At 44.5% G+C, this 21,714-nt stretch overlaps 1 protein-coding gene, 1 long non-coding RNA gene and 2 pseudogenes across 43 annotated transcripts in view, besides 6 other annotated features; 2 read left to right on the top strand and 2 right to left on the bottom strand.

The window, feature by feature from the left end:
• Positions 1 to 21,714, bottom strand: part of CFLAR (CASP8 and FADD like apoptosis regulator) — a 60,524-nt gene that overhangs the window by 18,814 nt on the left and 19,996 nt on the right. For 26 of the 42 annotated variants that reach the window (XR_001739013.3, XR_007083713.1, NR_147251.2 and 23 more), the window contains 4 exons: positions 17,435 to 17,517; positions 12,442 to 12,496; positions 8,822 to 8,871; positions 8,039 to 8,120 (listed from right to left, as the gene is read on the bottom strand). Coding sequence is in view for 18 of the 42 variants with exons in the window: in NM_003879.7 (NP_003870.4) it covers positions 8,039 to 8,120; positions 8,822 to 8,871; positions 12,442 to 12,496; positions 17,435 to 17,517 (270 nt within the window). In the remaining 24 variants the exon portion in view is untranslated. Of the gene's footprint in view, positions 1 to 3,466; positions 3,738 to 8,038; positions 8,121 to 8,821; positions 8,872 to 12,441; positions 12,497 to 16,277; positions 16,501 to 17,359; positions 17,600 to 17,995; positions 21,677 to 21,714 lie in introns of those variants that run through there. The other 16 variants (NR_147241.2, NR_147255.2, NM_001127184.4 and 13 more) reach the window with 7 other exon arrangements.
• CFLAR-AS1 (CFLAR antisense RNA 1) lies at positions 82 to 17,585 on the top strand. The gene is made up of 7 exons (NR_040030.1): positions 82 to 119; positions 4,201 to 4,563; positions 6,615 to 6,776; positions 8,114 to 8,220; positions 8,674 to 8,749; positions 9,003 to 9,140; positions 17,429 to 17,585. It is a non-coding gene; the product is annotated as a CFLAR antisense RNA 1 (long non-coding RNA).
• Positions 6,100 to 7,299: an enhancer, noted in NCBI's record as "P300/CBP strongly-dependent group 1 enhancer chr2:202015298-202016497 (GRCh37/hg19 assembly coordinates)". NCBI's record gives its function as "activates an origin of replication core promoter dependent on BRD2, BRD4, P300/CBP, MED14 and CDK7 cofactors, with strong dependence on P300/CBP, by STARR-seq in HCT116 cells {active_cell/tissue: HCT116}" and the evidence as "EXISTENCE:reporter gene assay evidence [ECO:0000049][PMID:35650434]".
• Positions 7,530 to 8,215: an enhancer, noted in NCBI's record as "H3K27ac-H3K4me1 hESC enhancer chr2:202014382-202015067 (GRCh37/hg19 assembly coordinates)". NCBI's record gives its function as "activates a minimal SCP1, AML or CMV promoter by ChIP-STARR-seq in naive H9 embryonic stem cells {active_cell/tissue: H9 hESC(naive)}" and the evidence as "EXISTENCE:reporter gene assay evidence [ECO:0000049][PMID:30033119]".
• Positions 8,414 to 8,708: a silencer, noted in NCBI's record as "tiled region #10379; K562 Repressive non-DNase unmatched - State 15:Elon". NCBI's record gives its function as "represses a minimal TATA promoter and a strong SV40 promoter by Sharpr-MPRA in K562 cells {active_cell/tissue: K562}" and the evidence as "EXISTENCE:reporter gene assay evidence [ECO:0000049][PMID:27701403]".
• Positions 15,911 to 15,971, bottom strand: RNU7-45P (RNA, U7 small nuclear 45 pseudogene; annotated as a pseudogene).
• Positions 17,370 to 18,326: an enhancer, noted in NCBI's record as "OCT4-NANOG-H3K27ac hESC enhancer chr2:202004271-202005227 (GRCh37/hg19 assembly coordinates)". NCBI's record gives its function as "activates a minimal SCP1, AML or CMV promoter by ChIP-STARR-seq in naive H9 embryonic stem cells {active_cell/tissue: H9 hESC(naive)}" and the evidence as "EXISTENCE:reporter gene assay evidence [ECO:0000049][PMID:30033119]".
• Positions 18,327 to 19,283: an enhancer, noted in NCBI's record as "OCT4-NANOG-H3K27ac-H3K4me1 hESC enhancer chr2:202003314-202004270 (GRCh37/hg19 assembly coordinates)". NCBI's record gives its function as "activates a minimal SCP1, AML or CMV promoter by ChIP-STARR-seq in naive H9 embryonic stem cells {active_cell/tissue: H9 hESC(naive)}" and the evidence as "EXISTENCE:reporter gene assay evidence [ECO:0000049][PMID:30033119]".
• On the top strand, positions 18,871 to 20,555 carry IMPDH1P10 (inosine monophosphate dehydrogenase 1 pseudogene 10; annotated as a pseudogene).
• Positions 19,284 to 20,240: an enhancer, noted in NCBI's record as "H3K27ac-H3K4me1 hESC enhancer chr2:202002357-202003313 (GRCh37/hg19 assembly coordinates)". NCBI's record gives its function as "activates a minimal SCP1, AML or CMV promoter by ChIP-STARR-seq in naive H9 embryonic stem cells {active_cell/tissue: H9 hESC(naive)}" and the evidence as "EXISTENCE:reporter gene assay evidence [ECO:0000049][PMID:30033119]".

Here is a 21,714-nt window from a genome sequence, read left to right as displayed (position 1 = left end):
ACAATTTTCCTCTATGAGGTGGTGAGGTGGAGTGGGAAGGGCTGTTAGCTGGCACTTGCAACTTTATTGCGCCAGCAAGAACATGCATACAGCCCAGTCTAACGTACAGGATCAAAAAGGTAATGACAGTGTGACTTTGAGTCAGTTTGAGTCAGCCCCAGTTTATTCATCTATAAAACAAGATTAAAACTAATGCTTGGCCAGGTGCAGTGGCTCACACCTACAATCCCAGCACTTTGGGAGGCTGAGGTGGGAGGATGGCTTGAGCTCAGGAGTTTGAGACCACCCTGGGCATCACAGGGAACCCCGTCTCTACAAAAAATAAAAAAACTAGCCAGGCATGGTAGTACAAGCCTGTAGTCATCACAGCTACTCAGGAGGCTGAGGCAGGAGGATCTCTTGAGCAGGAGGTTCTTCAAAAGGTGACTGTGAGGGCAGGGTACAGTGGCTCATACCTGTAATCCCAGCACTTTGGGAGGCCAAGGCGGGTGGATTGCTTGAGCTGCAGAGTTTGAGACCAGCCTGGGCAACATGGCGAAACCCCATCTCTACCAAAAATACAAAAATTGGCTGGGCATGGTGGCACGCATCTGTGGTCCCAGCTACTTGGGAGGCTAAGGAAGGAGGATCACTCGAGCCCAGGAAGTGGAGGAGCCAAGATCGCTCCACTGCACTCCAGCCTGGGTGAAAGAGTGAGACTCTGTCTCAGAAAAAAGGTGACCGTGAGGATCCAATGAGATTTCTGTAAAGATGCTTTGCAAACTGTGTTTATTCAAATATAAGATATTGACTTTAAAGGAAATAAAGGCAGCCATTTCAAAGTACAAATCACCAACCTTATGGTGTTGCACATCTCTCATGGAATCTCTCTCTTAGGACCTGGAGGGAGGTCTCTATATTCTAAACTAAAATGGGCTCAGAGCAGACAGAGTCCATATCCTATGTAGGTAGGACAGTAACTGTTTTGTCCTTGCACATAAATAGAGGAAGAAAAACTTGGGGGCTGGGTTTGGAAAATAAAATTTCAACAAACTACAGAAGACCCACTTCTCCTTCTAGAACCCACCCTGGAAATCCCACACTCAACCCAGTCTGATCTCCGTAAATTTCAACTGTTCTTTAGAACTTCTGGAAATGATGTGGGGGGGTGGGGAGGGGAAGGGCAGGGGTTCTTCTGGCCTTGCAGTTAGTACAGGGCTGTTCATTCAAGGCTAGGGTCAGCACTACTCACAGGTTTGAGGACTTCACAGATAAACCAAAAAAACCAAAATACAGTAAAATGTCATGACTTCATTAATTTAGAATTTGTTTTGATCTAAATGAGGATACATTTATCTTGACAATTTCTATGAAAAGGGCTTCATTAAATAAATGTATAAAATAAACAAGAATGAGGGAATGCTTCACCAGTTAATTTACAATCACATATTGAGTACCTTTAATAAGCCCAGTGTTAACTGCTATAGAGCACATGGGTAAAACATAAGATGGGCAAAACATTCTTAGTGAAAAAGGGAGTTCTGAGGTCAAACGTGTTTGGGAAATGCAAGGTGGACAAGGCTAAAATAGGTTTCTTCGCAGGAAGAATTCTCAGAGCCTTTAATAGGTCAATATGCATTGCAAATCTCTGAGGGGGAAGAGATTAGGCAGCGCTTCTCAAATTTACTTGACCGGAAAACTCTTGTTTTACAAAGTTCCCCTTATTGCCTACAGAAACACTTGGACAAGAGAATACATATCAAATATATGATGTACTTCAATCAAAGAGCTTATAATCTTGTTGGGGAAGCAAAGCTTATAAATACGCATAAAACAAAGATTACGTGGTGGCTCATGGCCATAATCCCAGTGCTTTGGGAGGCCAAGGCAGGAAGATCACTTGAAGCCAGGAGTTCAAGACCGCCCTGGGAAATACAGCAAAAGACCCTGTCTCTATAAAAAACAAAGTTAGCCAGACATGATAGCATGTGCCTGTAGTCCCAGCCACTCAGGAGGCTGAAGTGGGAGGATTGCTTCAGCCCAGAAGTTTGAGACCAGCCTGGGCAACATAGTGAGACCCTGTCTCTACAGAATATTTTAAAAATTAGATGGATGTGGTGGCGCCTGTGTGTAGTTCCAGCTACTTGGGAGGGTGAGGTGAGAGGATTGCTTGAGCCCGGGAGGTGAAGGCTGCAGTGAGCCATGATTGTACCCCTGTGCTCCATTCTGGGTGATAGAGCAAGACCCTGTCTCAAAAAAGAAAAGGAAAGTACAGAAAAATGTTCAAGCTTTTCAGAAAGAGCAGGATAGAAAAAAAAAATACTTCCTCTTGGCCAGGTGCGATGGCTCATCCCCGTGATCCCAGCACTTTGGGAGGCCGAGGCGGGCGGATCACCTGAGGTCAGGAGTTCAAGACTAGCCTGGCCAACATGGTGAAACCCCATCTCTACAAAAATACAAAAATTAGCCGGGCATGATGGCGGGTGCCTGTAATCCCAGCTACTCAGGAGGCTGAGGCGGAGAATCGCTTGAACCCGGGAGACAGAGGTTGCAGTGAGCCAAGATAACGCCATTGCACTCCAGTAGCCTGGGTGACAGAGCGAGACTCTGTCTCAAAAAAAAAAAAAACTTCCTCTTAAAATCTGCAAACATCGTCTTTTATTTTTATTCAAGGGCCTTAAAAACAACCAGAGCTTTAGGCCAAGCCGTAAAGCCCATCTGTCAGAGATGTGAGACGCTTGCTTCTATATTCCTAACAAGATAAAAGTCCAGTGCTTAAAGATGACCCACCAGGGCCTAGCACAGGTCCAGCTTTGCTGTCACTGACACAGATGACACAACACCAAAGACTTATTTTTCAATTCTACCAAACTGAGATAATTAGTTCCCAAATCCCTGAGCATTTACTTCTGCCTCAAGAAGAGGTTACTGAACTCCATAAGAATTCTTCTCAAGAAAGAACTACCAAAGAATAACCTTATTTCATGCACAACACAGCTCTGAGATCAGACTCCACCTCATTGCCTTAATATTTGCTTCACACAGGGCCAAGCATGGTGCTTTGCACATAGTAGGCCCTCAACGAACATTTACTGGACAAACAAAGAAATAAAGCTTTAAATACTTGGGGGACTTGCATGCTTTTTGGATAAAAGTCTGGTTTTTTGAGGAGAGAAGGGAAGATAGGTAGAAGAGAGTCTGCTAAACTCTAAAGATAAAAAGGAATGGCTTTTAGAAACACACTGACACTGGGAGAGCTTATTCCTTCATTCATTCACCCAACAATTATTTATTGAACACCTACATAGCAGGTATTCTTCCAGGTACTGGAGACCCATAGTAGGAGATAGATAAACTCCCTCACCTTCATGGAAATTATATTGAGGCAAAGTAGTTAAAAGCATAGGTTTTGGAGTCCAGCTTTTGAATCCCAGCTCAATCAGTACTAGAGAAGGTAGGAGTGTAGTTCACTGCTCAGCTTCCTCACCTTGAAAATGGAGAGAATAAGCCAGGCATGATGGCTGACGCCTGTAATCGTAGCACTTTGGGAGGCTGAGGTGGGCAGATCACAAGGTCAGGAGATCGAGACCAGCCTGGCCGACATGGTGAAACCTTGTCTCTACTAAAAATACAAAATTAGCTGGGCATGGTGGCACATGCCTGTAATCCCAGTTACTCAGGAGGCTGAGGCAGGAGAATCGCTTGAACCTGGGAGGTGGAGATTGCGGTGAGCTGAGATTGCGCCATTGCACTCCAACCTGGGCAACAAAAGGGAAACTCCGTCTTAAAAATAAATTAAAAATATAAAAAGAAAAAAGAAAAATTAGCTGGGCGTGGTGGCGCATGCCTGTAATCCCAGCTACTCAGGAGGCTGAGGCAGAAGAATCGCTTGAACTTGGGAGGGAGAGGTTGCAGTGAGCCAAGATTGCACCACTGCACTCCAGCCTGGCGACAGAGCAAGACTCTGTCAAAAAAAAAAAAAAAAAAAAAAGAAAGAAAAGAAAATAGAATATTCCTAGCAAATTAGTTCTAAGTAGAACAAAAAAAATTTAATGGAGAGAATAGTACCTATATTATGGTATTATTCATGAGGATTAAGCAAGAATCCGTGTAAAGCAATTAGCAAAGTACCTGGCACGTAGTAGATTTTTAATAAATTATATACTCTGAGCACAGCTATGCCTAGGTTAGTCCTATCATGTTCTTGTTTCTTTCTTTCAGAGACCTTATTTCGGCTGGCAATTACCTTACCCGCTTGTTCATTATCTGACTCCTGCACTCCTCCCAAGTGTTCAATGTTAACCAGATGGCAAAGTTAACCAGACAGAGGAAATCCACATAATTACTCTAGATGAAGCCCCCTAACTGCGGATTAGAAGGAAAAGAGATGAAGGGTGCTGCACTAATAATAACAACCATTTTCAACCAAGGCAGGATTCTGGGCCTAGAATCTTCAGTGACAAATTACCAGGAGAGGAGGAGGGAAATGAAGAGCTGGAGGCCTAGGGAGATGGTGTGAGGAGAGGAGACTGTGCCTTTCCACTTCTTAATAATTAATGTTCTCCTGCTGCTCTGAGTCTGCATGTAAGTGGATTTGTGACCTCTCAGCTGATGAAAACCATAGCACAAGAAGAGTAAAAGTGTGCTGCCTTGTTTCTTACTTGCTAATTAGCCACCTGAGCCCAGGGGGGTTTATAAGTGGCCTCAAGCCCAATTACTGATTTTGTTCCCAGAGGCAGAGAAGGCTTGAGTCAAATCACCCTGATTCTCAGGGGAAAGGCAGCACCGAGCATCCAGGGTACCCTCTAATGGCCCAGGCCTACTCTTGTCCAGCAATGTACCACCAAGATGTTGAACTTTAAAGGACTATGTCTGACCAGGAAGGACCTGCTGTCTAGAGCTGCCATTCTGATTCTTGGAGCTCGTATACAGATACATCCGCAACCATGGGGCAGGAAACAGATGTACCAGTGCAGTCAAGACCAATACCTGCTCATACCTGTGGCCAAAAGCATGATGCCCCAGGCTCTGCCTCCAATTCTACCATCTTCTTCCATCTTTCTCTTTTATCAGGTCTCTGCCCTCCTGTACTTTGTACTTAGATTCTCCTCTGCCAAGCCCATTCAGACTGTGACTGGTAGGAGTGCTGTGCTCAGCTTTCCACTTGAGTGTTTATCCAAGAAGTTGGATAACCCTCTCAAGTTATGGCCTCCATTCCAGTGCGCCTCAGTCTATGGGGATGCATTCCACTCACCCTTGGGCCTAGGGCAGGCCTCAGTGCCCTGGTCTCTCACTTGTCTGAGATCAGACTCTATGTACCAAGTGCAAAGCCATGGTGAGCTCTTGCTTAGGTGGTTTATGGCTAGAATTGAACAAGCAAATGAGGAAATAATGCTAGTTGGCATCTAGTACATGCTCACACTGTGCCAGGCATTATTCTAAGCCCTTTCCAAGTATGAACTCTCATTCTGCCCAACCTCCCTATGAGGTAGGTCCTGTTATTAACCCACTTTACAGAAGAGAAACTGGGACTTAAGAAGGCCGAGAACTCAGCACTACAGGAAAAATAAAAATAAAATTTAAATTAAAAAAAATTAGAAGCCGAGCGTGGTGGCTCATGCCTGTAATCCCAGCACTTTGGGAGGCCGAGGTGGGTGGATCACTTGAGGTCAGCAAGTTCGAGACCAGCCTGGCCAACATGGTGAAACCCCGTCTCTACTAAAAATACAAAAAATTAGCCAGGCATGGTGGCGGGCGCCTGTATTCCCGGCAGGGATGTACTCGGGAGGCTGAGGCAGGAGAATTGCTTGAACCCAGGAGGAAGAGGTTGCAGTGAGCCAAGATCGCACCATGGCCCTCCAGCATGGGCAACAAGAGTGAGATTCTCTCTCAAGAAAGAAAAAAAAAAACATTAAAAAAAATAAAGAGGCCAGGGACATTGCCCAAGGTCACAAGCTAGAACATGGCATAGCCATGATTCAAACCCACACTGTCATATTCCATTTCTCAACTCTGATCATGCTCCTATAATGCAGAAAAATTCAAATATACATTCAGCCCCCGCCCCCAAGAGGCCCATAACCCAGCAACAGAAGCAAGCACAGACATTGAGTTTTAGCCAAAAAACTTAGTTTTTCAATTCACAGCAGGTCATGGCTTTTTTTTTTTTATGATTCTCTCATACAACAGATATACGTACAACATCTACTGATGAATGAAACAAAACTGACCAAAACCAGAAGTACAGGACAATTACATAATCTCTTAAAACAGGAAGTGACTCATTAAGAAAATATTTTCTCATTCTTATATGGGTACTAATGGCTGAAAAGAAGACACTTATCTTTCTCACATCTAACCAAAAATAGGACACGACCAAGCAGGATCGTATCTGAAATCCTGGAAAATTTAGTATTATATTTGCTAATTTGACCTTCTCTTAGCCTTTCTTCCCATAAAACTCCCCATGGTAACATTTTAAGTGAGCCTGAAAGATAGTTCTGACTCATTTTAAGAGAATGTTGAGAAGCTCTAAAACTGGAAATACAATGATCGATCCTCTTAAGGAAGAGCTAAATAATTAAACAGAATGTCATTCCACTTATCTAGGCTCTTCTCATTCTCTTTTGATGCAGCACCAGTGATTCAGTTTGAGTCAGACATCCAACAACAACTGAGCAAAAGAATCATCTCAGATCCAAGCAATGGTGACGCGCAGATAGAAGAGACTGAGGCCAACGACCAAAGCAAAGGACAGCAGAACTGACTGACACAGCTCAGAAAATATCCAAAGCTCTGTAAGTGAACACACATTTATTATGTCTTTAATGTTCCCAGGAAAGCTTTTGTCGTCTATCTAGGTGAAATGATGGGGCATGTGATAATATGTGAAGCCAGAATGCCTTCCATTAATATTAATGCCCCTCTGGGTTCCAGGACTCCTCCCTGCTTCAGCATCCAAAAGAAAAGGCAAGACTAAGGCTCACCAACTACCGTAAATGATGTCTTTGTGCCAGAGACACTGTTATGTGTCCCCCAAATCCATTTCATTTCCTCCTGACACACAGCGAGACTAATTTCTCCATGTCCACTACAGTTAGATGGAGCCACATGACTGAGTTCTGACCAATCTAATGGGGTGGAAATGATGCACATTATCACTTTTAGGCCTGGTCCCTAAAATCTCTTGTGAGATCCTTCACACATTCTCTCTTCCCTTATCTGCTAGCCAGATGCAAGGGACTCTGTAGAAAACTCCAAGACCTCAGAAGATAATGGAGCCACTGAATAGCCACATGAACAAAGCTCCCCCAGCCCGATCCACACTAGCCTGTGACATGAATGAGAAACAAGTCTCTATTGTGTTGTAACACATATTCATTTTTTTTTTCTTTTTTTGAGACAGGGTCTTGCTCTGTCACCCACACTGGAGTGCAATGCCACCATCTTGGCTCACTGCAGCCTTGACCTCCTTGGGCTCAAGTGATCCTCCTGCTTCAGCCTACCATGTAGCTGGGACTACAGGTGTGCACCACCACACCAGCTAATTTTTTTTTTTTTTGAGACAGAATCTTGCTCTGTCACCCAGGCTACAGTGCGGTGGTGCGATCTCGGCTCACTGCAAGCTCTGCCTCCCAGGTTCAAGCAATTCTTCTGCCTCAGCCTCCCAAGTAGCTGGGACTACAGGAACCCACCACCATGCCCAGCTAATTTTTGTATTTTTAGTAGAGACGGGGTTTCACCATATTGGCCAGGCTGGTCTTGAACTCCTGACCTCATGATCCGCCCGCCTCCGCCTCCCAAAGTGCTGGGATTACAGGTGTAAGCCACCGTGCCCGAGCCCACACCAGCTAATTTTTAACTGGGCTCAAGTGATCCTCCCATCTCAGCCTCACAAAGTGCTGGAATTCCAGGCATGAGCCACCGCACCCAGGATGAAGCACAGATTCTTGAACTGGTTTGTCACGGCAGTTGGTGCTGATCACTCCAATGAATACAGCTTGCCTGTGCCATGATCTCAATCTGGGGGCACCAGTTAATCTGCAGCTTCCACACCTACCTGTCTCATTGCCAATGCAATCGATTATCAGGCAGATTCCTAGGGGCTTGCTCTTCATCTTGTATCTCTCTTCAGGTATGCTCTGGAAAGGAAGACAAGAAATGCTAAAGACTCTGGATATTGCTCTGTTTCTATAAGGTCCCACCCATATACCATCTCTTCTTTTGGATTTCCTTTGGCAGGTGAGTCACTCAACAGACACAGCCTGAAGTTTCCCATTACGGCAAATGTTTCCCATTAATATCAAATTTTTCCTCTATTAGGGTAATGTGCTTAAGACAAATTATTTTCATTTTTATTTAATTTTAATGAAAATCCCACTCTCTTTATTGGCTTTGTGGAATAAAGATAATTTGAAAAAGAGAGAAAACATGAGTGATTTGTCTCCACAGTAACCTGAAGTTATATAAGTGGCATGTTCCCAAGTACAAAGGGAGCCCTTCTATTGCTTCTGCTTACAAAGAGGTGTCAACCTAAGAAAAAGCCAGAACAAGCCAAAGTTCAGGGAAGTATCACTGCTGACTAATATGTTCAGCAGTCACTGAGTTGAGATGAGGAGTGCTACTTTGGAACTTCCCTGCATTCCAAAGTTCACTAATGCAATCCACTTTAACATCTTTCTCTTTGTTATTCAGGGTTCCCTTGTATGGAAGTTCTCAGGAGAACAACACTCTCAGAGTCCCACTGTCTCAAAGAATTCTTAATGGACAGGTATTTTTAAAGAAGTCAGGGTTATCCACAGCTATGTACATATAATACCAAATCAGATCATTTATTCTGTACCTGAGGCAAAAAAGCTTCTGATTCCTGAATGGATTTCTTCACTGGTTCTTCTGGGGGATGAGAGAGAGAAACCATTTACAAAGCTGAAGGAGAGCTAAGTCCACCCCTACACTGGCTGAGTTTCTTTGTATAACAACTGTTCTCCCTTCCTATTTTCTTCAATTATCTCTTCTTTCCCCAGCTATACTTGGCCCCAAGGTTTCAACCTCACACTGAAGAAAGTGACATAAGAAAACACAAGTCCCAGTGCTATCAGGGGCTATCTGGAAAAGCTGCTTAAACAGCAAGTGAAAGAAGGCTCTCCCCTACCCCGTTCTAGGTGAGGAACAGGTGGCTGGTGAGTTTTTAACTTGATAGGAGAATCTAATAACCTCACCACCCAACAATACTGATAGCTTTCCTATATGTGCTGAAACTGTTGACAATACCTAAAGGGAACAGCCTTAGAGAGTGCAGAGCAGGGAAAGTTTATATGTGTTTGCTAGTTATAAAACAGATGGCACTGTTTTCATAGTCCAGTGATACTGGGAGATCATAAAATAAAATGTCAATGGCAAGACAGTGACAATGGGGGCAGTGAGCCTGGCAAATGGAGATGAGCCTAAAGCTAATTTGCTAGAAAAAAATGACTTGATTAGGTCAGGGAGGTGGAAGAACAACCAGTTTTGAGCAGAGATTGTGCCACTGCACTCCAAAGTGGGCAACAGAGCGAGACTCTGTCTCCAAAAAAAAAGAAAAAAATTAAAAAAAGATACACAGGATATATTAAGTGAAAAATGGATTATTAAAAATATGTATAATATTGATTCTGTGAACTTAAAAATGTATATTTGTGTACATATACTTACACATGTATTAATATATGCTTAAATATAAAAGAATCTGGAGGCATAAAAATCAAACATTAATAGCAGCTATCTCTGATACTTGAAAGAGGAAATTTCATTTTATATTTTTTGTATTTTAGCAATTATATATTAACAGAACAAACAAACAAACAAAGAAAAGCCACAAAATAATCTATGTGATATATCTATCTCAGTTTAAGGCATTTAGCAAGAAATTACTAAATTGAAGTTATCACCATCCTCATCAAATTCAATGATGGCTGAACAGTTCAAATCTATTTGGAAGTCCAAATTAATATAAATATTTGGTTTGATTATTATTATTTATTTATTTATTTAGATGGAGTCTCGCTCTGTCACCCAGGCTGGAGTGCAATGGCACGATCTCAGCTCACTGCAACCTCCGCCTCCCAGGTTGAAGCGATTCTCCTGCCTCAGCCTCCTGAGTAGCTGGGATTACAGGTGTGTGCCACCACACCTGGCTAATTTTTATATTTTCAGTAGAGACAGGGTTTCACCGTGTTGGTCAGGCTGGTCTCCAACTCCTGACCTCGTGATCCGCCTGTCTCGGCCTCCCAAAGTGCTGGGATTACAGGCGTTAGCCACCATGCCTGGCCGAGTATTTTAAACTTCTATTAAATTAAGCCCAAGTTATTAGAAAGCTTTTCTGGGGTGGGGGGCAGGGTCTTGCTCTGTTGCCCAGGCTAGAATGCAGTGGCAAGATCTCGGCTCACTGCAACCTCCACCTCCCAGGTTCAAGCAATTCTCCTGCCTCAGCCTCCCGAGTATCTGGGACTACAGGCATGCACCACCATGACCAGGTAATTTTTGTATTTTTAGTAGAGACGGGGTTTCACCATGTTGCCCAGGTTGGTCTTGAACTCCTGACCTCAGGTGATGCACCCACCTCGACCTCCCAAAGTGCTGGGACTACAGGCATGAGCTACCATGCCCAGCCCAGAAACCTTTTTCTTTTATTAGCAAATAAACCAAGTCCAAGCAAGAGCAAGTAAGCAGCTCTCCTAACAGGATCATAGGGATATTTGGATTCTCACTTACCTCATCTGTACAATTATGACCAAGGATAAAATTGCCATCAGGGAGCAAATGGAAAGAACACCAATTGTTTTTAATTCCTATGCAAATCTACTAGGTCTCCTATTTTCCCTTTAAACAGGCTTCGGAATACTAATTCTCATCACCTCACCAGTGTTTTAAGAAACATGCTATCATTTCAGGAATTAATTCGCTTCTCAGTAGTTTTTGCTGGAGAGCACAATATTAGGTAGAGAATGACAGACATGAGCTACACCAGCTGACTAATCCGGGCAAAATAAGTTTCCAGGTGCAGATAGCACAAAGACTGAGTCGTAAGATATCTGTAAGGGGACTGCCACACAAAGAGGGCTTCTATTAGGCCACTGCCCTACTCAAAACATTCATGATGTCCCACCACACACAGGACAGATTCCAAGCCTCTTGGATAAGACTGAAGCCCTCCATCACAGCCCATCAATCCGTTTCCTGGAGTTCGGAACCACAGCCATGTGCCTCATCAGTGTAAGACTGAGTCTCAGCTCTCACTTCAAGGAGGACTCAAGACAAGCAAAAGAAGTAAACTTTTGCTGGGTGCAGTGGCTCACGCCTGTAATCCCGGCACTTTGGGAGGCCAAGGTGGTGGATTACTTGAGGTCAGCAGTTTGAGACCAGCCTGACCAACATGATGAAACGTTATCTGTACTAAAAATACAAAAATTAGGCTGGGCGCCATGGCTCATCCCTGTAATCCCAGCACTTTGGGAGACCGAGGTGGGTGGATCACCTGAGGTCAGAAGTTTGAGACCAGCCTGGGCAACAGAATGAAACCCCATCTCTACTAAAAATACAAAAATAAACTGGGTGTGGTGGCACAAGCCTGTAATCCCAGCTACTCAGGAGGCTGAGGCATAAGAATCACCTGAACCCAGGAGGCGGAGGTTGCAGTGAGCCGAGATTGCACCACTGCACGCCAGCCTGGGTGACAGAGCAAGACTCTGTCTCAAAAAAAAGAAAAGAAAAGATAAGAAAAAAATTAGCTGGGTGTGGTGGTGCGTGCCTTTAATCCCAGCTACTCAGGAGGCTGAGGCATGAGAATTACTTGAATTCAGGAGGTGGAGGCTGTAGTGAGCCAAAAGTGTACCACTGCACTCCGGCCTGGGTGACAGAGTGAGACCCCGTCTCCAAAAAAAAAAAAGAGTAATCTTTTAAAAAATGATCTATGGGATCAAGTGCTAATGTTTTAAGAGAGAAAACAGCTCATGCGGGTTGAAATGACCCATCTTTAAATTGCACGTTTTCTTTCTTAGGAAAGGGGGGATATCATCTGTAGAGTATCCAGATTTATTAAATAGGCTGTAAGACAAGAACTTATTTACCATTCCTCTTCCTGCTGCTAGATATTTGGTTTAACATGGTTCATTATCATGGTTGGATCAATGTTTAACATGGCCTGATTAGAGCTCCATTCCATTTCAGTTATAAACATCACATCTCTTAACATACGGCCAAGATGATGAAGCTGATGGAGTACGATGGTGTTCAAACTTAGATAAGCTAATTCAATAGACAACTAGAAATGCCAATGAGTCTATCGTAAGAGTTTAACCAGTTTTTATTTTGAGAGCTTACTTAGATTATGTAGATAAAGGAAATGACCAACTCTAAAAATGCAATATTTGTACTAGAATTATCAAGCATTTATAAATAATGAATATTAAAAAAAGGTGGTCTTACGTTGAGCGCCAAGCTGTTCCTTAAGTCTTTGTTCTTTACTTCTCCCATTATGGAGCTTCAAATACAAAGAATAAGGTCATACTTCCTGTTAGTTATTTCAGAGGTACACTATACATTACACCTCTTTAAATGTCTCAATAGGATTCTTAACTCAGGAAAAAAATAAAAATATCGTCCCAACAGTTAAATTATCTAAAGAATAGCAAGAGCTGTTAACTCCATAAATCCCGTATCATATTACCAAAGAACAGGGAAATTCTGCTTTTAAAAGATGAAAATAGGCCGGGAGCGATGGCTGACACCTGTAATCCCAACACCTTGGGATGCCAAGGTGGGTGGATCATCTGAGGCCAGGAGTTCCAGACCGGCCTGGCCAACATGGTAAAACCCCATCTCTACTAAAAATACAAAAATTTGCTGGGCATGGTGGCGTGCCCCTGTAATCCCAGCTTCTCAGGAGGCTGAGGCAGGAGAATTGCTTGAACCTGAGAGGCAGAGGTTGCAGTGAGCTGAGATGGTGCCATTGCACTCCAGCCTGGGCGACAAGAGTGAAAAGTGAAACTCTGTCACAAAAATTAAAAAAAAAGAAAAGAAAAATATGCTAAGCTAGCATATTAGAATGTTTCAAAACAGCCCAATAAAATCTGATGTTACAGTATAGTATAGTTGCTAGCATAGCTCCAGGTTAGGATAAGCTGTTGGAACATGAGATTGACATTCCACCTGTTCCTTCAACACAGGGGCAAAGTACAGCATGGTTAAGAGTCGGATTTCTAGGCCAGACAGACCTGGCTAGGAATCCTAATTCTGCCACTTATTAGCTATGTAACCTCGAGCAAGTTATTTAACTTCTGTATGTGTGTTTCTTCATATGCTAAATGAGGATAATAATAGATACCTTACAGATTTTGTATGAAGATTAAATGCACACAAAGCACTCAGCACAGTGCCAAGCACATGGAAGTACATAATAAATGTCCAGTTATTGCTTTTCTATCATTGCCTAGCTACACATAAGCAACATATGGTCCTGATTCTTGATAATCAAATATTCTTGATAAACCACTTCTGAGGGCTAGAGTAAGAGTAATCAGAGAATGAAAGATTAAACCGACCCTTTCTCTTCTCAGATGACAGGTCCTATGTAAGATACACATACCACATGCTGTCAACCCATCTGAGACACTCAGCTTTCAAATGACAGTTCTTCTCTGAAGCTAACCTAGCCAAAAGAGTGAAATACACTATCTGTTAAGCTGTGTCAGTAGCTAAGTCTGTGTGTCTAAATTAAAAACATGTAAGTTGCCTTTTTCACTAATAATTAGTAACTTAGCCAGAGGCTGATCATATCAGATAGAAATTGGCCGCATGCATGTGTATTCGCTTTTACATATTATTAGAGAGAGGTAACATATCAAATCAAAGATGGATTTTAAAAGCATTGTATTGTAGCCAAATAATTTTTAAATTCTTTTTTTTTTTTGAGACAGAGTCTCACTCTGTCACCCAGGGTGGGGTGCAGTGGCGCCTGCAACCTCTGCCGCCTGGGTTCAAGTGATTCTCCTGCCTCGGCCTCCAGAGTAGCTGGGATTATAGGCGCCTGCCACTGCGCCTGGTTAATTTTTGTAGTTTTAGTAGAGACAGGGTTTCACCATCTTGGCCAGGCTGGTCTTGAACTCCTGACCTCATGATCCACCTGCCTCGGCCTCCCAAAGTGCTGGGATTACAGGTGTGAGCCACCATGCCCAGCCATAATTTTTTAATTCTATAATATCTTGTGGTATCCTGTGGCATTTAATCATACAGTAATTTTTGAAGCACTTCTGCAGCCTCATATGAATTAACTTCTAGGTATTCGGCTCCTAAACCTTTTAAGAAAGTCACTGCATTCATATGCCATAGTGCCTGCTTACTAAATGAATGAATGAATAATCAGGGTCACTTTTTTTTTTCTTTTTTTGAGACGGAGTTCCACTCTTGTTGCCCAAACTGGAGTGCAATGGCACAATCTCGGCTCACGACAACCTCCGCCTCTCAGGTTCAAGTGATTCTCCTGCCTCAGCCTCGCAAGTAGCTGGGATTACAGGCATGCACCACCACACCTGGAAAATTTTGTATTTTTAGTAGAGACAGGGTTTCTCCATGTTGGTCTCAAACTCTCGACCTCAGGTGATCCACCTGCCTCGGCCTCCCAACGTGCTGAGATTACAGGTGTGAGCCACTGCACCCGGCCTTAGGGTCACATATTAAATATAGAAAGTTTAAGGAGAAACTAATATGCAAAGCATATGGGCTCACAACAGGCTACATAGCAATGAATATGCTTCATTTACAAAATAGAAACACAATAGTAAAAATATGGCAGGTTTTTTAACTAAGAATGACAATATAATTTATATTAGACAGACAATAGCAGAGAAAGCTCAGAAAACCTGGATCTGAATCCTAAATCTGCTTTTTCTCATTATTTGGTATTACAGAGACTCAGAAGGACAAAACAAAGCACATTTCATTCTTTTAAAAAATATATGCTAGGCCAAGTGCAGTGGCTCATGTCTGTAATCTCAGCACTTTGCGAGGCTGAGGCGGGCAGATCACCTGAGGTCGGGAGTTCAAGACCAGCCTGACCAACATGGAGAAACCCCATCTCTACTAAAAATATAAAATTACCCGGGCGTGGTGGCACATTCCTGTAATCCCAGCTACTTGGGAGGCTGAGGTGGGAGAATCGCTTGAACCCGGGAGGCGGAGGTTGCGGTGAGCCAAGATCGCGCCATTGCACTCCAGCCTGGGCAACAAGAACGAAACTCTGTCTCAAAAAAACAAAAAGTATGCTCTAAGATATGGTATGACAAGTATATAGTTTATTATATACATCACAGTGCAGTGAAAGGAGTATGGGCTGGGCCCAGCTCTGCTAGTAGTTAGAAGTAGACAATCAGTTAATGTTCTTTAGGGCTAAGTTTCCTTATTTTGTTCATTAAGGGAGTTGGATAATATAATCCGTAAATCCATTTTAGCTCTGAAATTGCATTGCTCAGTAGTGTCTCTTACAGACATATTCTCCAAGAAACCATTTATATTACAAGAGTGGGTTTTCATTACATATTTTAAGGAAAGCATTTATATATATATATATAATATTTTTTTTTCTTTTAGAGACAAGGTCTCACTCTGTCACCAGGGCTGGAGTGCAGTGGCACACTCACACCTCACTGCAGCCTCAACCTCCCAGGCTCAAGCAATTTCTCCCACCTCAGCCTCCCAAGTAGCTGAGACTAAAGGCACACCATCATGCCCAGCTAATTTTTGTATTTTTTGTAGAAATGGGGTTTTGACATATTGACCAGGTTTGTCTCGAACTCCTGGGCTCAAGCGATCCGCTTGCCTCGGCCTCCCAAAGTGCTGGGATTACAGGCGTGAGCCACCACACTCAGCCAAAAGCATTTTTTTCCTTCTTTTTTTTTAGGGCTTTCTGGCAAAAACTGAAAAGCCTGCTAGACAAATTCTAAAAGAGCTGTTAACACTGCCAAAAGCATTTCTAATTTAACCATGAAATTGTACCCGGCTCTAAGTCCTCACTACAAACTCCACATATCTTTATATGAACATGAGGATAAGATTACACCAAGATTTAACTTCTCAAGATAAAAGATTAACTAAAGAACAATTCCGATACCTTGTACTAAGTACTAGGAACACAACAACCATAAGTGACTATATGATACACTTATGCTCATGAACACCCTCAAAAATCTTTTGTTTCATCACTCAATAACAAAATAACTTTTGCTGAAATCATTAAAATTAGCTCAGTAAAAAAACAAATGCACAAAGAAGTACAAGGATATTTATTTTATAGCATTATTAGTAGTAACAAAAGATTGGAAAGCATCTAAACATACAGCAACAAGAAAGGGCTAAACACATTATAACACATTTAGAAAATGAAACGATTTAATCATTCAGAATGATTAAGTAGAGGCAGTTCCATGTTAATCACATGGAACAATTTCCAAGAATTTTCAGATCAGGACAATGGGCATAGGGTGTTATCATCTGTAGAAGAGAAAAAAGCAAAAATGAAATATATGTGTAGACTATCTCTGGATAGTTACAGAATGAACTAGTTCACAACAGCTGCCTTTAGGAAAAATAATTGGAGGTCAGTATTATAGGGGTAGGAAGAAAACATTTTTTTTGAGACAGAGTTTTGCTCTTGTCACCCAGGCTGGAGTACAATGGCGCGATTTGGCTACTGCAACCTCCACTTCCTGGGTTCATATGATTCTCCTGCCTCAGCCTCCCAAGTAGCTGGGATTATAGGCACCTGCCACCATACCTGGCTAATTTTTGTATTTTTTAGTAGAGATGGAGTTTCACCATGTTGGCCAGGCCAGTCTCGAACTCCTGACCTCAGGTGATCCTTCCGGCTCGGCCTCCCAAAGTGCTGGGATTACACGCATGAGCCACCGCACCCGGGCAAAAAAATACTTTTAAAACCTCTTGTAGTACATTTAAATTTTTTTCCATAGGCATGGTGCATCTATTTTTATTTTTAAAGTTACATTTTCTTTTTTTAAGTTACAATTTCAAGTGAATAAATGAACAGTGAAAAAAATGTCCAATTGTCCAACTGTATGTATGTATGTATGTATATATATATATATATACATACATACAGATACAGATGCAAACCCACATAAAAAAGAGTCTAGAAGGAAATATACCAAAATACTAACAGTGGTTGTCTTTGGATAGTGGAATATAGGTGATTTATTTTCTTTTATCTTTCTCTATAGTCTCCAAATATCTCAATGAACATGTATTAGCTTTGAAATATAAGAAGTTACACGTTTTTAAAACAAATACACATTTCTATCACAATTTTTTCAGATATTAAATAAAGTACATGCTGTGAGAATATGCATATTTTTATTAGAACTCTGAAACGGTTTCATGCTGGGATTCCATATGTTTTCTCCAGACTCACCCTGAAGTTATTTGAAGGATCCTTGAGACTCTTTTGGATTGCTGCTTGGAGAACATTCCTGTAACTTGTCCCTGCTCCTTGAACTATAAAAGCAGAAGGGAGGTACTGAGTTAAAACTTACAAATTATTATCAAATAAATCTTCAATAGTGGTTCAGTCCAAGGTCAATCACCATCTTTCAAAATACCCTAAACTTTCTAGCCACCTTACTGAATTCAAAATTTCAGATGACTCTTCGACCAAACATCATGAAGAATGGAGTATAGGGCGCCCTGGCCCGCCCCGCCGCTGCCGCAGCCCCCGCCCCCAGCCCACCCAGCCCACCCGGCGCCTGGCTGCAGCGTGGCAGCGGCGCGCCTCCGCGTCGCAGCAGCTGCAGCGTTTATGTCGGGTCGCGGGGTCTCGCGGCAGCATGAGGGACTACCTATCAGCAGCAGCACCGGCTACGTGGTCGAGGACGGGTTCACTGCGCTGAAGGGGTGGGTTGCCCCTCCACACCTGTGGGTTTTTCTCGTTAGGTGGAACGAGAGACTTGGAAAAGAAAGACACAGACGCAAAGTATAGAGAAAGAAAAAAGGGGGCCCAGGGGACCGGCGTTCAGCATACGGAGGATCCCGCCGGCCTCTTAGTTCCCTTAGTATTTATTGATCATTTTTAGGTGTTTCTCGGAGAGGGGGGTGTGGCAGGGTCATAGAATAATAGTGGAGAGAAGGTCAGCAGATAAACACGTGAACAAAGGTCTCTGCATCAAGAACAAGGTAAAGAATTAAGTGCTGTGCTTCAGATATGCATACACATAAACATCTCAATGACTTAAAGAGCAGTAGTGCTGCCCGCATGTCCCACCTCCAGCCCTAAGGCGGTTTTCCCCTATCTCAGCAGATGGAACATACAATCAGGTTTTACACCGAGACATTCCATTGCCCAGGGACTGGCAGGAGACAGATGCCTTCCTCTTCTCTCAACTGCAAACAGGCGTTCCTTCCTCTTTTACTAATCCTCCTCAGCACAGACCCTTTATGGGTGTCGGGCTGGGGGACGGTCAGGTCTTTCCCTTCCCATGAGGCCATATTTCAGACTATCACATGGGGAGAAACCTTGGACAATACCTGGCTTTCCTAGGCAGAGGTCCCTGCGGCCTTCCGCAGTGTTTGTGTCCCTGGGTACTTGAGATTAGGGAGTGGTGATGACTCTTAACGAGCACGCTGCCTTCAAGCATCTGTTTAACAAAGCACATCTTGCACAGCCCTTAATCCACTTAACCCTGAGTTGACATAGCACATGTTTCAGGGAGCACAGGGTTGGGGGTAAGGTTACAGATTAACAGCATCTCGAGGCAGAAGAATTTTTCTTAGTACAGAACAAAATGGAGTCTCCTATGTCTACTTCTTTCTACACAGACACAGTAACAATCTGATCTCTCTTTCTTTTCCCCACACCGTGCAGCAGCTCTTCGCCAGTGACCAGGGACTCACCTACAACGACTTCTTGATTCTCCCAGGATTCATAGACTTCATAGCTGATGAGGTGGACCTGACCTCAGCCCTGACCCAATGGTCACTCTGAAGACGCCGCTGATCTCCTCCCCCATGGACACTGTGACAGAGGCCGACCTGGCCATCGTGATGGCTCTGATGGGAGGTACTGGTTTCATTCACCACAACTGCACCCCAGAGTTCCAGGCCAGTGAGGTGCAGAAGGTCAAGAAGTTTGAACCGGGCTTTATCACACACCCCGTGGTGCTGAGCCCCTTGCACACTGTGGGTGATGTGTTGGAGGCCAAGATGCGTCATGGCTTCTCTGGCATCCCCATCACTGAGACGGGTACCATGGGCAGCAAGCTGGTGGGCATCGTCACCTCCCGAGACATCGACTTTCTTGCTGAGAAGGACCACACCACCCTCCTCAGTGAGGTGATGATGCCAAGGATCAAGCTAGTGGTGGCTCCAGCAGTGTGAGGTTGAAAGAGGCAAATGAGATCCTGCAGCTTAGTAAGAAAGGAAGCTGCCTATCGTCAATGATCGCGATGAGCTGGTGGCCATTATCACCTGCACCGCGCTGAAGAACCGAGACTACCCTGTGGCCTCCAAGGATTCCCATGAGCAGCTGCTGGGCGGGGCAGCTGTGGGTACCCATGAGGATGACAAATACCACCTGGACCTGCTCACCCAGGTAGGCGTCAATGTCATAGGCTTGGACTCGTCCCAAGGGAACTCGGTGTATCAGATCGCCATGGTGCATTACATCAAACAAAAGTAACCCCACCTCCAGGTGATTGGGGGGAACGTGGTGACAGCAGCCCAGGCCAACAACCTGATTGACGCTGGTGTGGATGGGCTGGGCAGGGGCATGGACTGCGCGGCTCCATCTACATCAACCAGGAAGTGATAGCCTGCAGTCAGCCCCAGGGCACTGCTGTGTACAAGGTGGCCAAGCATACCCAGAACTTTGGTGTGCCCATCATAGCCGATGGTGGCATCCAGACCATGGGGCATGTGGTCAAGGCCCTGGCCCTAGGAGCCTCCACAGTGATGATGGGCTCCCTGCTGGCCGCCACCATGGAGGCCCCCGGCGAGTGCTTCTTCTCAGACGGAATGCAGCTCAAGAAGTACCAGGGCATGGGCTCACTGGATGCCATGGAGAAGAGCAGCAGCAGCCAGAAACAATACTTCAACGACGGGGATAAGGCGAAGATCACGCAGGATGTCTTGGGCTCCATCCAGGACAAAGGGTCCATTCAGAAGTTCGTGCCCTACCTCATAGTGGGCATCCAGCATGGCTGCCAGGATATCGGGGCCCACAGCCTGTCTGTCCTTCGGTCCATGATGTACTCAGGGGAGCTCAAGTTTGAGAAGCAGACCATGTCAGCCCAGATCGACGGTGGCATCCATGGCCTGCACTCTTACGAGAAGTGGCTGTACTGAGGACAGCGGTGCAGGGCGAGATGGTGGAGGGAGTGCACCCCAGTGTCCACCTTCAGGCACAGCCTCCCTCCATAACTGAGTGGTCCACAGATTTGCACTATGGGTTCCCCAGCTCCTTTCCAGGGAGAGAGGAGGGGAGGCTCTGAGGGGTCTGCAGCCCCCCTTGCTGGGCATCCCCTGCAGAGTCAGGACTGCTCCCTGGGCCAGGCTGCCCTGGGAGCCCCCCTGAACCCAGGCAGCTGGGCTCTCAGGCCCTGTGCCTGCCTCAGGTCTTTCTTGCTGCAGCCTGCTCCAGCCCAGCCCCCACCTCAGGGGCAGACGGCCCCTCCTGGCTTCTCCTATAGGGCACCTCCCTGTCCCCAGCCCCCCAGGAAATGGTGCTCTCCTGACCCTGCCTCTGGCCCTTCCCAGGCCGCTGCCCCCTCAGGCATGTGGCACTTCTGAGCTCCAGACCTAGGCCAAGGGGAGGTCTCTGCCCCCTTCCCCAGCTCTGGGCTACCCTTAGGTCCTGCTCCTTAGGCCACTCCCCAGTCCCTGGCCCTGGGGAGGAGGCTGCCCTGGTCATGGCTGCCTGCCTGTCATTCCTGACTCACCACCGTCCCCATTCCTGCCCTCTCCTCAGCTGCAGTTGAAGGCTTTAACTTTACACACTTTGGGATCACTGTTGCGTCCCTGTGTGTTAAATAATCGGAATAAATCAAGCAGGTCTCAAAAAACAAGAATGGAGTATAAATGCTCTTCTGTTTTTGATCTTTGATCAGTCATTTAGAGTATGTTGGGGTAAAAGAGTGCTCTATAGATCAATGAGTCTCAGCCATGCCCTTTAGGCTGTGATGCTATGGTGGCAGTGAACTTGCTAACAAAGCCCAAGCTGAGGCTGAGTCTAAAAGACAATGAGGAATGCAAGTAAAGCAGAAGGCCAATGTGAATCTGGTCCCTTTTATCAAGGAAGAAATCGAATGTGCTCTTTTCCATAAGGAGGTTTTGTGAAACTTGGGACACATGCAAGGAAGGTATGAGACCCAAGTGACATCACCCGAAGTTGGACAGTGGTTGTGAGGCCAAATACCAGAGCAAGGCAGTAGGGTTCAGCATACATGCAAAACCCCTGAATGTCCATAGCTCTGCCAGCCTGTGCAGATCCCAGATTCTTTCTTGAAGACTGAAATGTTAAGAACTGCTTGGCAGCATTTTGCAGAGATCATGAATATACAGGGCAATGGAGTTGGCAGATCTGGGATATGAAGAATATAAAGGGACGCGATTTCTAGCCACAAGCTAAAGGAGGCTTTGGTCATCCAGGTTCCATTCCATCCACCTATCCAACAAATGAATATTTATCAGTCATGATGCCCA

This window comes from Homo sapiens, chromosome 2 (genome assembly GCF_000001405.40).
Source record: "Homo sapiens chromosome 2, GRCh38.p14 Primary Assembly".
Lineage (NCBI taxonomy): Eukaryota > Metazoa > Chordata > Mammalia > Primates > Hominidae > Homo > Homo sapiens.
This window is presented reverse-complemented; position numbering and strand designations above follow the sequence as displayed.